General features: G+C 37.7%; 1 annotated feature.

Moving 5' to 3' along the window:
• Positions 10118 to 10333: a silencer, noted in NCBI's record as "fragment chr5:96669582-96669797 (GRCh37/hg19 assembly coordinates)". NCBI's record gives its function as "represses an EF-1alpha promoter that drives an FKBP-Casp9 reporter gene in an ReSE screen in phorbol 12-myristate 13-acetate-treated (for megakaryocytic differentiation) K562 erythroleukemia cells {active_cell/tissue: K562(+PMA)}" and the evidence as "EXISTENCE:reporter gene assay evidence [ECO:0000049][PMID:32094911]".

Raw genomic sequence — 13050 nt, forward strand, 5'->3', positions numbered from 1 at the left:
AAAGATGTATTACTTTGAATGCCACCACCATTATTCTCCTACATTGAAATATTTTTCTTACATACATAATTTACAATGTCAAATAATACTACAAGGGTGTAATGAAAAACAGTGTTCCCCTACCTCACTGTCCCCATTCTGGTCTTCTGACCCTAAGTCCCCTGTTTCACAACTCTGGGGGCACCACTCCCAGAGAACTCAATCTGAATAATGCCCCTGGAGTTGCGGAACACAAGTCCTGCTTGGTCCTTAGGGATCTTTTGTGGTTTCTTCTGGCCTTCACATCCTACATCTAAAACATGTGAGTGTACCTCTGTTTCTTGATTTTTTCAATCTTAGATATCATCCAATCCTCTTCTGGAGGATGAAGAGTTAATTGTGTAAAATGCCTCCCAATTTAATTGTATCACACATTTAAGTTTATTTAATATTCAGGGATCATATAGCTATGATTAACACATTTTTGTTTACTTAATATTCAGAGATTATATTCCTTTTATTAGCAACTGTTGTTCAGAGCTGAGTCACATAGAAGCTGATCACATTCCTTTTCTTACACAAATTTTAATTTATCCCAGATGCAACAGTAACCTCATTAGTTTGGGGGGAGGAAAATTTCTAGGTGTCTACCTCTAATTTTCTTCCAAATTCTCCAAAAAAAAAACTCTGAAGTTTCCTCTCAATAGATCGAGACACCTGGAAATTTGATAGCATGCTTTTTCTTTTGCCTCCAGCCAATGTCATTTCCTGCTTTTTAGGTTGTTGGTTTTCCCCCTGGCTTACTGCGTAGTTGTCTTCCAGGAAATTTCTTTCAGCATCTTTCTGGGAATTCCCTTTTCCTCCTCTGGATTTTAAATTTCCTGTTTTCAGAATCCTCTGTCTTCCTTTTTCATGGTGAACTTCCTTGTTTCCATGAAAGCTCTGTAAAGGAAACAGTGTCCCACTCTGGAGGAACTGGGGAAGATTTCATAGAGGAAGTGAAAATTGAGTTGGGATTAGAGAATGTGTAGGAATTTTCTAGAAAAGAGTAATCCATGCAGAAAAAATAGCGTGTGTAACCACCCATAAGCATTATACTCATAAGTGAGAAATCCATAGGTTATTAAGTATGGAAGTTTGGGAAAGTCGAAGTTGATGCTGTAAAGTGTAGTCAAATTTTGAAGAGCAATATATGACATGTTAAAGATTTTGAAACTTGGGCGTGTGCAGTGGCTCATGGGCCCGAGTGAGGCGGGAGGCTGAGGTGGGAGGATTGCTTGAGTGCAGGAGTTGGAGACCAGCCTAGGCAACATAATGAGACCTCTTCTCTACAAAAAATAAACAAAATTAGCTTGGCATGATGGCATGTGCCTGTAGCCCCAGCTACCCAGGAGGCTGGGGTTGAGCCTGGGAGGTTGAGGCTGGAGTGAAATGAGATTGTGCCACTGTGCTCCAGCCTGGGCAATGGAGCCAGACCTTGTCTCAAATAAAAAAAAAAAAGATTTTGCAACTTTTTTTTAAAGACCATAGTGAGCTGAAAGAAGTCTTTAATAAGATAAGAGATATTATTATATAATAAGTACTTTTTAATAAATGTAATTCTGGGAGCACTTTAGAGAGTGGACCAAATTGAAAACAAGTGGGGACAGGGACAGCAGTTGGGAGACTGTTGCATTAGTCTTGTTGAAAGATGATGAAGCAATTTTTGTAACATGGAGGCAAGAAGCTCAGCCAGATTGGAGAGAAATTTTAGAGACAGCATTGAAAGATCATGCTGATTCATAGAGGGTTGAGAAGAAAGGAGTCTCCGAGAAAGACTGAAATTTATAGTTTAGGATAATGATATTGGATATGCTGTAAACTCTGATAGAGATTATCTGAGATAAAATAGGTTAAAGTTGGGGAAGGAAGATAACAAGTTTAGCTATGAATGTGGTAAGATTTGGAGACTATGACAGGACACTGAGATGGAAATACCTGGTACCCAAATAAAATAGGAAAATAATATTGTCAATGCTGTAATTGTGGCTATATAGCATTATGAGATTATTCCAGTCAGGGAAGTTTATCAGCATTACTTGGAAACTAGTTTCAAAATATCCCTCCTGTTTTTTCTTCTGGAGAATTTGATGTATTTTCTATTGGTTAAATTTAAGTATAAAGAATTCTAATTTTTATGATTTAATTTTAACTCTCTTCTTAGTAACAGAATAATTTTGTATGTGTTGTTTTATAATGACCATCAAATTATTATATGATCTTTGTATATTTATATTTCTCTTGCAAAGGTAAAATGTGGACACAACAGCACTGATTCCAAAAGAGATATGCTTTTCAAATTCAAAATTGCTGCTTTTGAGACCAAAATTATCACCCTTTGATTTGAATGATAGATTATCTATGTGGAATGGATTTGACCTAAGGCAATTAAAGATACTTTTGAAAAAAGAAATAAACTTGATTCTTTTCATTTATCTGCACCTAAATAAAATCACCATTTACATTTTAAATTGCATTCAATTACTTGGTAATGTATTCTTGCAGTTATATTATGTACACTTACATTGTCATATTCTGAGTTTGCTAAACTTTGATGCCACCTTGTTAGAAGCAAATGTTAACCTATCACGTATATAGAAAATGGCAACCTATATTTCAAGTTAATTTTCCAAATGGATAAATGACAGAGTTTGAAGTAAAGTGTTAAATTTTAACATCTACTTTTTGCCTGAAAAACACCTTTCTAAGCAAATAGCATTCCCCCCAGACACCTAAAATCTGTCTGTATTTTCCATGGATAACACACAGGTAGTGCATGAAAGCAATCTTTCTCATTAGTCTTTTTATTTTATTTTATTTTATTTTATTTTCAGAGTGGTATCTTGTTTGAGAAGCAGTTTTCAAGACTAATTATTAAACCATGTCACCTTTCCTGTAAGAATTTAATGTATATGTATATATCATCAGATAAGGACAAGTTTCCACAATACAAAAAAAGTGATATTTAATGTCTTCATTTGGTGAGAGAGAGAAATGAGCCAAGGTGTTATCATAGAGAATTTTGTAAAGCTGTTTTGATGCTTCTGCTTATATCACAAACCATAACAGAGTTAAATACTATCGGACTCTCTAAGATTAAACGGTATTTTGAAGAGTGTATGTTAGGATCCTTTCCTTGACTGGTTTTATACCTCTTATGTTTAAGCAGAGTTATTCCATTCAAAAAATAATACATTTATTGATCATTTGTAAAATGCCATTACATTATTTTTCTGGTTCATTCATTAATTTAACAAATATTTACTGAGCACTTACTCTGTACCAGGCAGTGCTGTAGGTAAATAATTGTTTTGTTAGGATAACATGAAAGTACTTGTTGTGTTGATAACTTAGGATAATCTAGTTACTGATTTGGGGATGTCTGTAAAACTTTACTATTCTGAGGTTAAGGCCATGTCAATTTCTGAATGCATAATGATTATTTTTATTTTTAGTTTCTGGGTTGAATAATATGGAAGCCTATCTGGAGCACATCAAACCAAATATATATATATATATATCATATATATGCACTTAATATCTGGTTTCTGGCTTTGGTGAAAGCCTATAATTATTAAATAGTAAAAATTGATTAGTTTTAGCTTAGTCTTTACCTGATGATATATACATATTTTGTTCTATTATTCCTACCTGTCCCCATCTTCTCCTTCCCTCTTAACAACAGAACACAATAAAAATAATGTTTCAATAAAGGAGCGAACTATTATTTATTCTTTCAACATGCTTGTGGTGTCTTTATCAAGAGTATTTGCTTTGCAAATATTCCTTTGCTAGAAATTCATTATAATAATATCAATCATAATAACAACAGTGCTCATTTATTAAATACTTAATATATGCTGATATTATGTAGAAACTTTGCATATATTATTTAAAGGAAATAAGCAAATCAACTAAAGCCTAAGGTGGCTTCATTCTTTTCAGGTATGCTCATCTATGGATCCTTATTTTCTCTTAGCAATCCAGTTATTGGTTATTGTTTCAGATTATATTTCAGGACCTCCTTAGATTTTTTCCTTTTGCTCTATGTTAAGTGGGAAATTAAAAAGCAAACAAATAGATACATAAAATAAAATAAAATCCTTTCATATTGCCCTTTATTATCTCTTAGATGACAATTACATGCAAATCAAGAGAGGATCTTCATGCATGCAAATTAATTTAGTGTTTTCCACTTTGACAATGTGACAGTAGGCCAGACGGTGATGATTCCCGTCCTCACCTGGCAGCTCAGTGTCTGCACTGCTGTGCGTCTCCCCCTTCTCACCTTGCCTTTTGAGAGATCTGGCTGGTTTTAGGAGCACTGTTACTAAATTCAACATTGCATCTAGACTTGAGAGTTCTTTGTTCACATCTGATTTGAGAAAGATGTTTGAATAAATTCTGTCTGTCCTGTTTGCATGGAACGAGAAACAGGACTAATTGTTTTATGGAAACCTCAATCTGCGGTTTGAATGAATTTTATGATAAATGAGTGTGAGAAGACTAGTATTGATATTGCCTTCTAGTTTTGGGGCCTAATAAAAATTTTAATCCTTCTCAGAAAATATGGAATTGTCATGTCAATAAATCTTGTCTGATACCTAAACAAGAAGTCAATATTTATTAAATAGACATGAGAATAGGACTTGGTCTTCTATAAGTTTACTATAAAAACTAATATGCTGATAGTGCTCAGCCAGTGTAAATGTTATTATTAAATATTCTTAAATAGACATAAGATTATCCAAGAACAGTATTAATGATTAAGTATGAATTGAATCCATTTTGGATTATCATTGAATTCTATATCCTTTAAGAAGATTTATCTTCTTTCTTCAATTTATTTCTTTCACTTTTTTTTTTTGCATCAAGGAACTTTCAGTACCAAGGTTGTATAAACAGTCAACATTTTCCAATAATTTCTCCTAACTCTAATGAATTGTAGTCATCTCTGGATGATATAAACAAAGGATAATTTCATTCATAGTTATTCTTGTGTGTGTGTGTGTGTATGAGAGAGAGAGAGAGAGAGAAGATATTTAAATTGAAGGAAATTAAAATGAGTTTCAATTAGGTATCCAGATACAGTAGATGTGAAATTAGACAGTGAGATGAAACCATATGTAATATTAAAATGTCTCATGATTCTTGAGCTACTTCACTGAAAATCACCTGTGAGTGTGTAGAGAAGAAAGAATTGGTAAAGAGATTTTTTTTTTTAAATTATACTTTAAGTTCTGGGATACATGTGCAGAACATGCGGGTTTGTTACATAGGTATACACATGCTATGGTAGTTTGCTGCACCCATTAACCTGTTATCTACATTAGGTATTTCCCCTAATCTTATCCCTCCCCTCGCCCCCCACCCCCTGACAGGCCCCAGTGTGTGATGTTACCCTCCCTGTGTCCATGTGTTCTCATTGTTCAACTCCCACCTATGAGTGAGAACATGTAGTGTTTAGTTTTCTGTTCTTGTGTTAGTTTGCTGAGAATGATGGTTTCCAGCTTCATCCACATCCCTGCAAAGGACACGAACTCATCCATTTTCATGGCTGCATAGTATTCCATGGTATATATGTGCCATATTTTCTTTATCCAGTGTGTCATTGATGGGCATTTGGGTTGGTTCCAAGTCTTTGCTATTGTGAACAGTGCTGCAATAAGCATATGTGTGCATGTGTCCTTATAGTAGGATGATTTATAATCCTTTGGGTGTATACCCAGTAATGAGATTGCTGGGTCAAATGGTATTTCTAGTTCTAGATCCTTGAAGAACCGCCACATTGTCTTCCACAATGGTTGAACTAATTTACACTCCCACCAACAGTGTGAAAGTGTTCCTATTTCTCCACATCCTCTTCAGCAGCTGTGGTTTCCTGACTTTTTAATGATCGCCATTCTAACTGGCGTTAGATGGTATCTCATTGTGGTTTTGATTTGCATTTCTCTAATGACCATTGATGATGAGCTTGTTTTCATATGTTTGTTGGCTGCATAAATGTCTTCTCTTGACGAGTGTCTATTCATATCCTTCGCCCACTTTTTGATGGGATTTTTTTTCTTGTAAATTTGTTTAAGTTCTTTGTAGATTGTGGATATTAGCCCTTTATCAGATGGATAGATTGCAAAAATTTTCTCCCATTCTTTGGTTGCCTGTTCACTCTGAAGATAGTTTCTTTTGCTGTACAGAAGCCCTTTAGTTTAATTAGATCCCATTTGTCTATTTTGGCTTTTGTTGCCATTGCTTTTGGTGTTTTAGTCATGAAGTCTTCACCCATTCCTGTGTTCTGAATGGTATTGCCTAGGTTTTTTTCTAGGGTTTTTATGGTTTTAGGTTTTACATTTAAGTCTTTACTCCATCGTGAGTTTATTTTTGTATAAGGTTTAAGGAAGGGATCCAGTTTCAGTTTTCTGCACATGGCTAGCCAGTTTTCCCAACATCATTCATTAAATAGGGGATCCTTTCCCCATTGCTTGTTTTTGTCAGGTTTGTCAAAGATCAGATGGTTGTAAATGTGTGGTTATTTCTGAGGCCTCTGTTCTGTTCCATTGGTCTGTGTATCTGTTTGGGTACCAGTACCATGCTATTTTGGTTACTGTAGCCTTGTAGTATAGGTTGAAGTCAGGTAGCATGTTGCCTCCAGCTTTGTTCTTTTTGCTTAGGATTGTCTTGGCTATACAGGCTCTTTTTTGGTTCCATATGAACTTTAAAGTAGTTTTTTTCTAATTCTGTGAAGAAAGTCATTGGTAGCTTGATGGGGATAGCATTGAGTCTATAAATTACCTTGGGCAGTATGGCCATTTTCTTGATATTGATTCTTCCTATCCATAAGCATGGAATGTTCTTCCATTTGTTTGTGTCCTCTCTTATTTCCGTGAGCAGTGGTTTGTAGTTCTCCTTGAAGAGGTCCTTCACATCCCTTATAAGTTAGATTCATAGGTATTTTATTCTCTTTGAAGCAATTGTGAATGGGAGTTCACTCATGATTTGGCTCTCTATTATTGGTGTGTAGGAATGTTTGTGATTTTTGCACATTGATTTGGTATCCTGAGACTTTGCTGAAGTTGCTTATCAGCTTAAGGAGACTTTGGGCTGAGACAATGGGGTTTAAATATATAATCATGCCATCTGCAAAAGGAGAAAACTTGACTTCCTCTTTCCCTAATTGAATACCCTCTCTTTCTTTCTCATGCCTGATTGCCCTGGCCAGAACTCCCATACTATGATGAATAGGAGTGGCCAGAGAGGGCATCCTTGTCTTCTGACGGTTTTCACAGGGAATGATTCCAGTTTTTGCCCATTCAGTATGATATTGGCTGTGGGGTTGTTCTAAATAGCTCTTATTAATTTAACATACGTTTCATCAATACCGAGTTTATTGAGAGTTTTTTTGGCATGAAGACCTGTTGAATTTTGTCAAAGGCCTTTTATGCATCTATTGAGATAATGTGTTTTTTGTCATTGGTTCTGTTTATGTGATGGATTACATTTATTGATTTGTGTATGTTGTACCAGACTTCCATCTCAGGGATGAAGCCAACTTGATTGTGGTGGATTAGCTTTTTGATGTGCTGCTGGATTTGGTTTGTCAGGATTTTATTGAGGATTTTTGCATTGATTTCATCAGGGATATTGGCCTGAAATTTTCTTTCTTTGTTGTGTCTGTGGTTTTGGTATCAGGATGATGCTGGCCTTATAAAATGAGTTAGGTAGCATTCCCTCTTTTTCTATTGTTTGGAATGGTTCAGAAAGAATGGTACCAGCTACTCTTTGTACCTCTGTTAGAATTCTGCTGTGAATCCATCTGGTCCTGGACTTTTTTTTATTAGTAGGCTATTATATACTGCCTCAATTTCAGAACTTTTTATTGGTCTATTCAGGGATTTGACTTCTTCCTGGTTTTGACTTGGGAGGGTGTATGTGTCCAGGAATTTATCCATTTCTTCTAGATTTTCTAGTTTATTTGGGTAGAGGTGTTTATAATATACTCTGATGGTAGTTTGTATTCCTGTGGGATCTGTGGTGATAGCCACTGTATTATTTTTTATTGTGTCTATTTGATTCTTCTCTCTTATTAGTCTGGCTAGCAGTCTATCTATTTTGTTGATCTTTTCAAAAAACCAGCTCCTGGATTCATTGATTTTTTTGAAGAGTTTTTCTTGTCTCTATATCCTTCAGTTCTGCTCTGATCTTATTTATTTCTTGTCTTCTGCTGGCTTTTGAATATGTTTGCTCTTGCTTCTCTAGTTAATTTTAATTGTGATGTTACAGTGTCAATTTTAGATCTTTCATGCTTTCTTTTGTGGGCATTTAATGCTATAAATTTTCCTCTAAACACTGCTTTAGCTGTGTCCCAGAGATTTTGGTACATTGTGTCTTTGTTCTCATTGGTTTCAAAGAACTTATTTATTTCTGCCTTAATTTTGTTATTTACACAGTAGTCATTCAGGAGCAGGTTTTTCAGTTTCCATGTAGTTGTGTGGTTTTGAGTGAGTTTCTTAATTCTCAGTTCTAATTTGATTGCACTGTGGTCTGAGTGACAGTTTGTTATGATTTTCATTGTTTTGCATTTGTTGAGGAGTGTTTTTATTTATTTGTTTGTTTATCTTTTTTTATTATACTTCAAGTTTTAGGGTACATGTGCACAATGTCCAGGTTTGTTACATATGTATACGTGTGCCATGTTGGTGTGCTGAACCCATTAACTCTTCATTTAACATCAGGTATGTCTCCTAATGCTATCCCTCCCCCCTCCCCCCACCCCACAACAGGCCCTGGTGTGTGATTTTCCCCTTCCTGTGTCCATGTGTTCTCATTGTTCAATTGCCACCTGTGAGTGAGAACATGCGGAGTTTAGTTTTTTGTCCTTGTGATAGTTTGCTGAGAATGATGGTTTCCAGCTTCATCCATGTCCCTACAAAGGACATGAACTCATCCATTTTTATGGCTGCATAGTATTCCATGGTGTATGTGTGCCACATTTTCTTAATCCAGTCTCTCATTGTTGGACATATGGGTTGGTTGCAAGTCTTTGCTATTGTGAATAGTGCCACAATAAACATATGTGTGCATGTGTCTTTATAGCATCACATTTTATAATCCTTTGGGTATATACCCAGTAATGGGATGGCTGGGTCAAATGGTATTTCTAGTTCTAGATCCTTGAGGAATCGCCACACTGACTTCCACAATGGTTGAACTAGTTTACGGTCCCACCAACAGTGTAAAAGAGTTCCTATTTCTCCACATCCTCTCCAGCACCTGTTGTTTCCTGACTTTTGAATGATCGCCATTCTAACTGGTGTGAGATGGTATCTCATTGTGGTTTTGATTTGCATTTCTCTGATGGCCAGTGATGATGAGCATTTTTTCATGTGTCTTTTGGTTGCATAAATGTCTTCTTTTGAGAAGTGTCTGTTCATATCCTTTGCCCACTTTTTGATGGGGTTGTTTGTTTTTTTCTTGTAAATGTGTTTGAGTTCATTGTGGATTCTGGATATTAGCCCTTTGTCAGATGAGTAGTTTGCAAAACTTTTCTCCCATTCTGTAGGTTGCCTGTTCACTCTGATGGTAGTTTCTTTTGCTGTGCAGAAGCTCTTTAGTTTAATTAGATCCCGTTTGTCAATTTTGGCTTTTGTTGCCATTGCTTTTGGTGTTTTAGACATTGCTTTTGGTGTTTTGGTTCCATGCCTATGTCCTGAATCATATTGCCTATGTTTTCTTCTAGGGTTTTTATGGTTTTAGGTCTAACATTTAAATCTTTAATCCATCTTGAATTAATTTTTGTATAAGATGTAAGGAAGGGATCCAGTTTCAGCTTTCTACATATGGCTATCCAGTTTTCCCAGCACCATTTATTAAATAGGGAATCCTTTCCCCATTTCTTGTTTTTGTCAGGTTTGTCAAAGATCAGATAGTTGTAGATATGCAGCATTATTTCTGAGGGCTCTGTTCTGTTCCATTGGTCTGTATCTCTGTTTTGGTACCAGTACCGTGCTGTTTTGGTTACTGTAGCTGAGGAGTGTTTTACTTCCAATTATGTGGTCAATTTTAGAATAAGTGTAATGTGTTGGTGAGAAGAATGTATATTCTGTTGATTTGGAGTGTAGAGTTCTGTGGATGTCTATTAGGTCTGCTTGGTCTAGAGCTGAGTTCAAGTCCTGAATATCCTTGTTAATTCTCTGTCTCATTGATCTCTCTAATATTGTCAGTGAGGTGTTAAAGTCTCCCACTATTATTGTGTGAGAGTCAAGGTCTCTTTGTAGGTCTCTAAGAACTTGCTTTATGAATCTGGGTGCTCCTATATTGGGTGCATATATGTTTAGAATAGTTAGCTCTTCTTGTTGTCTTGATCCCTTTACCATTATGTAGTGCCCTTCTTTGTCTCTTTTCATATTTATTGGCTGAAAGTCTGTTTTTTCAGAGACTAGGATTGCAACCTCTGCTTTTTTTGCTTTCCATGTGGTTGGTAAATATTCCTCCATCCCTTTATCTTGAGCCTATGTGTGTTTTTGCACATAAAATGGCTCTCCTAAATATAGCACATTGATGTGTCTTGACTCTTTATCCAATTTGCCAGTCTCTGTCTTTTAATTGGGGCATTTATCCTATTTACATTTAAGGTTAATATTGTTATATGTGAATTTGATCCCATCATTATGATGCTAGCTGGTTATTTTGCCAGTTAGTTGGTGCAGTTTCTTCATAGTGTCGATGGTCTTTACACTTTGGTATGCTTTTGCAGTAGCTGGTACCATCTTTTCCTTTCCGTATTAATGCTTCCTTCAGAGGATCTTGAAGACAGGCCTGGTGCTGACAAAATCTCTCCGCATTTGCTTGTGTGTAAAGGATTTTATTTCTCCTTCATTTATGAAGCTTAGTTTGGCCAGATATGAAATTCTGGATTGAAAATTCTTCTCTTTAAGCATGTTTAATATTGCCCCCCACTCTCTTCTGTTTTGTAGGGTTTCTGCAGAGAGATCCACTGTTAGTCTGATGGGCTTTCCTTTGTGGGTAACCTGACCTTTCTCTTTGGCTGCCCTTAACATTTTTTCCTTCATTTCTACCTTGGTGAATCTGACAATTATGTGTCTTGGGGTTGCACTTCTTGAGCATTATCTTTATGGTGTTCTCTGTAATTTTTGAGTTTGAATGTTGGCCTGTCTTGCTAGGTTGGGGAAGTTCTCCTGGACAATATCCTGAAGAGTGTTTTCCAACTTGGTTCCATTCTCCCTGTCACTTTCATGTATACCAATCAAATGTAGGTGTGGTCTTTTCACATAGTCCCATATTTCTTGCAGGCTTTGTTCATTCCTTTTCATTCTTTTTTCTCTAATCTTGCCTTCATGCTTCATTTCATTAAGTTGATCTTCAATCTCTGATATCCTTTCTTCAGCTTGGTTGATTCAGCTATTGATACTTGTGTATGCTTCACGAAGTTCTTGTGCTGTTTTTCAGCTCCGTCAGGTCATTTATGTTCTTCTCTAAACTGGTTATTCTACTTAGCAATTCATCTAACATTTTTCAAGATTCTTATCTTCCTTGCATTGGGTTAGAACATGCTCCTTTAGCTTGGAGGAATTTGTTATTACCCACCTTGTGAAGCCTACTTCTGTCAATTTGTTAAACTTATTCTCCGTCCAGTTTCGTTCCCTTGCTGGAGAGGAGTTGTGATCCTTTGGAGGAGAAGAGGCATTCTGGTTTTTGGAATTTTCAGCCTTTTTGTACTGATTTTTCCTTATCTTTGTGGATTTATCTACCTTTGGTCTTTGATTTATCTACCTTTGGATGGGGTTTCTGAGTGGACATCCTTTTTGATGTTGATGCTATTCCTTCCTGTTTGTTAGTTTTCCTTTTACGGTCAGGCCCCTCTGCTTCAGGTCTGCTGGAGTTTGCTGGAGGTTCACTCCAGACCCTGTTTGCCTGGGTATTACCAGTGTTGGCTGCAGAACAGCAAAAATTGCTGCATATTCCTTCCTCTGTAAGCTTTGTCCCAGAGGGGCACCCACCAGGTACCAGCTGGAGCAATCCTGTATGAGGTGTCTGTCAACCCCTGCTGGGAGGTGTCTCCCAGTCAGAAGGCACGGGGTTCAGGGACCCACTTGAGGAGGCAGTCTGTCCCTCAGCAGAGCTCAAACGCCATGTGGGGCTGCTCTCTTCAAAGCCAGCAGGCAGGGATGTTTAAGTCTTCTGAAGCTGCTCCACAGCCTCCCCTTTCCTCAGGTGCTCTGTCCCAGGGAGATGGGGGTTTTATCTATAAGCCCCTGACTGGGGCTGCTGACTTTTTTTAAGAGATATGCTGCCCAGAGAAGAGGAATCTAAAGAGGCAGTCTGGCTATAGCTGCTTTGCTGAGCTGTGGTGGGCTCTGCCCAGTTCAAACTTCCTAGCAGCTTTGTTTATACTATGAGGGGAAAACCACCTACTCAAGCCTCAGTAATGGCAAACGCCCTTCCCCCCACCAAGCTCAAACATGCTAGGTCAACTTCAGACTGCTGTTCTGGCAGCGAGAATTTCAAGCCAGTGGATCTTGGCTTGCTGGGCTCTGTGGGGGTGCAATCCGCTGAGCTAGACCACTTGGGCCCTGGCGTCAGCCCCCTTTCCAGGGGAGTGAACGTTTCTGTCTCACTGGTGTTCCAGGTGCCACTTGGGTCTGAAAGAAGAACTTCAGCTGGCTTGGTGTCTGCCCAAACGGCTGCCCAGTTTTGTACTTGAAACCCAGTGCCCTGGTGGCATAGTCAGCTGAAGGAATCTCCTGGCCTGTGGGTTGTGAAGACTATGGGAAAAGCATAGTGTCTGGGCTGGAGTACACTGTTCCTCACGGCACAGTCCCTGACAGCTTCCCTTGGGTAAGGGAGGGAGTTCCTTGACCCCTTGTGTTTCCCAGGTGAGGCGATGCCCCACCCTTCTTCCGCTTGCCCTCCATGGGCTGCACACAGTGTATAACCAGTCTCAATGTGATGAGCTGGGTACCTCAGTTGGAAATGCAGAAATCATGCACCTTCTGCATTGATCTCGCTGGGAGCTGC

Source organism: Homo sapiens, chromosome 5 (assembly GCF_000001405.40).
Source record: "Homo sapiens chromosome 5, GRCh38.p14 Primary Assembly".
NCBI classification, from domain to species: domain Eukaryota; kingdom Metazoa; phylum Chordata; class Mammalia; order Primates; family Hominidae; genus Homo; species Homo sapiens.